Source organism: Homo sapiens, chromosome 5, assembly GCF_000001405.40.
Source record: "Homo sapiens chromosome 5, GRCh38.p14 Primary Assembly".
Taxonomy (NCBI): domain Eukaryota; kingdom Metazoa; phylum Chordata; class Mammalia; order Primates; family Hominidae; genus Homo; species Homo sapiens.
In genome coordinates, this window is record NC_000005.10 from 149,957,868 (window position 1) to 149,960,693 (window position 2,826).

Consider the following 2,826-nt stretch of genomic DNA (forward strand, 5'->3'; position numbering starts at 1 on the left):
GGGAGTTCAAGGTCCAGTGGGGCCTCAGAGGAAGTGACTAGTCCCACCTGGGAAGAATGGGTGGTCAGGAATGCTGAGGAGGTAAATCCTGAAGTGGCCCCAACCTGAAAGGACTTATTTGCTGGCCCACCATGCCTCCAGTGCATACATCATTAGTTACGCTTTGGAAAAGCTGTTTGGGAAGAGTAATGGCTATAAAATGTGGCCCTCCGGCTGCCAGTCACCTCTGTGAACCCTGAGACCAACAGGAGGGAAAAAATGCCCAGGCTAGGAGGCGTAAAGAGATCCAAGTGCTGCTGATGTGATGTCATCGAGGAAAAGCTAATTATTGGCCAGCTTTCCAGTAGCAGGGATTTAGTTATTCACCCCCACCCCCCACCCCACCCCTCCACCCGCTGCCTTTGATTCCTGTTGTGGAGCACTGGAACATCGGTGAAGGGAAAGTAGCATGGCAGACCAAAGTCTGGCTCCATGGAGCTCCTTGGGATGTGTGTGTGGAGATCAGCGAGGGACCACAACAGTAAACAGCAGCCAGGGATGCTGAACTAGGAGGCAGAGAGGCACCAATGGCCAACCTAAAGCTTCTTTACTAGCACCTTCTCCTGGCCCCGGGCCATAGCTTGCATGTTCTTGGGTGCTGGCATGTCACAGCTCCCAGGTCAAAATCCACCTCCATCCCATCTCAAAATCTACTGCTTGTTAGCTGAATAAACTTGGTAAGTAATACTATTCTGAGCCCCAATTTCTTCGTCTGTGATGCAGATGAATATGTATGAAATAAAATCAAAGAATGATAGGCAGTATTAAATTTGACTGGTCTGGTTTTTTATTTTTGCTTTTGTTTTTATTTTTGAGATGGGGTCTCACTCTGTCACCCAGGCCGGAGTGCAGTGGCACGATCTCGGCTCACTGCAACCTCTGTCTACTGGGCTCAAGCTGTCCTCCCACCCCAGCCTCCTGAGTAGCTGGGACTACAGGCACATGCTACCATGCCTGGCTACTTTTTTCTATTTTTGGTAGAGTTGGAGTTTCACCATGTTGTCCAGGCTGGTCTCTAACTCCTGAGCTCAAGTGGCTTATAGGCATGAACCACCATGCCCGGCCAAATTTGGCCAATCTTTATTGGTGCCTGTTATATGCAAGGTCCTGGCTTCCCCACACAGACAAGAAAACAAACAAATAAATGAATAAATGTCAGCTGCAAGGATTGGAGTGGATTCTTGCATTTGCATAGCACAGTGAGTGTAGTGGTTAAGAGTGGGCTTTGCAGTCAGACGTGACTGTGTTAAAATCATGCTACTGTCACTTATTAACTGTGGGACGTTGGGCAGATCACCTAACATCTCTGAGCCTCATTTCCTCACCAAAAAAAAGAAGAATCATAATATGGCACCTCCTCTAAAGCTGTTGTGAGGATTAACTCATGTAATGAATGTGAAGAGTTCTGCGCAGGCACGTGATAAACATCCAGAAACTGTTTATTCTGCTTGTTGTGCAGTCTTTAGGGCTTAAACAAAGTACTTTACACTGATTGCCTTACCTGACCCTCTCCAGGACTCTGGGTGCTAGGGCATTAACTACCCTTTGAAAGGTGAAAACATTGATGCCCATTGAGGTGAAATGATTTGTCTTCAGCCACAAGGGGCAGCATCAGGAGTAGAACCCAAGTGTTTGTGTTCTGATTCCCAAGACAGCTTATGACGTTTTGGAAACTCTGAATCTGATGGGTGACAGAAACTTGGGGATCATCTCTAGATAAGAAAGGGAGTTCCTTGAATGACTGTGAAGACGTTCACCGGAAAGGGAAGGAAAGGAAGTTAATCATGCTTCCTTCACAGGCCCTCCTTCACCCCCATCTAGTGGGCACATGCAAGCTACAAACAAGGTGAGGAATGAACAAATTAATACATACTCAATAGTGGCCAGTTCGAGGCAGATAATTAAATCAAGATGACCTGAAAGGATGTGACTGGCTGTGGCTAGTTTACACAGGGTGGTCAGGGACGGCCTCGCCATGGAGAGGGCTGGTGTTTTGGCTGAGACCTGAGAGACCAGAAGAAATCTGATGGCCAGAACCAATGTTTAGGTCCCTAAAGAGAACAAGCGTGGCGAGCAAAGGGGGCCAGTATGGGTGGAGATCAGCGAGGGAGGGGGGCAGAGATGAGTGCCCGAAGCACACAGTACCTTGGCATAGGGAGGGTTTGATTTTACCTACAAATGCCATTAAACCCACTAAGGATTTTAACAAAAACTACAATTACATTTTAATTTACATTTTATGTTTTATAGAGACAAGGTTCGGCTATACTGCCCAGGTTGATCTCGAACCCCTGGGTTCAAGCGATCCTCCCTACTCGGTCCCCCAAAGTGCTGGGATTACAAGCGTGAGCCGCTGCGCCCGGCCTTTTAATTTACATTTTAGCCTTCCGGTTACTGGAATCTTTGATGGGGAATGAGTTATAGTGAGGCAAGAGCCTCTAACATTCTAGGAGCTCTTTTCCCGTTCGGGGCCTCAATTTCCCGTTCTACAAAGGCGGGTGGGAGGGAACGGGGTCCCAAGTAGTACTGGATAAAGAGGTGGCCGATCGCAAACGCTGAGCACTTCAAAACTCTGGGCAGAGCGCTTCCGCGCCTCTCCTGCTATTTCACCCTGGCCACAGGCTAGCCGCCGAGGCCGGTCATCCGCTCTCTCCGCGGAGGAGTCAACGCCACGGAAGCAGCGGCGGAACCTCTCTAAGAATCCTTCCAGCTTGTGCTCTTCTGTCCAGGGCAGCCAATCGCGAGGAGGAGAGTAGTCAGAGGGCGGCACCCTCCCCGGTCTGGGCC

The 2,826-nt window shown here is 49.1% G+C and overlaps 2 annotated features.

Annotated features, from left to right (window-relative positions):
* Nucleotides 1,307-1,910: an enhancer, noted in NCBI's record as "NANOG hESC enhancer chr5:149338737-149339340 (GRCh37/hg19 assembly coordinates)". NCBI's record gives its function as "activates a minimal SCP1, AML or CMV promoter by ChIP-STARR-seq in naive H9 embryonic stem cells {active_cell/tissue: H9 hESC(naive)}" and the evidence as "EXISTENCE:reporter gene assay evidence [ECO:0000049][PMID:30033119]".
* Nucleotides 1,707-1,786: an enhancer, noted in NCBI's record as "active region_23392". NCBI's record gives its function as "activates an Ori minimal core promoter by ATAC-STARR-seq in GM12878 lymphoblastoid cells {active_cell/tissue: GM12878}" and the evidence as "EXISTENCE:reporter gene assay evidence [ECO:0000049][PMID:35858748]".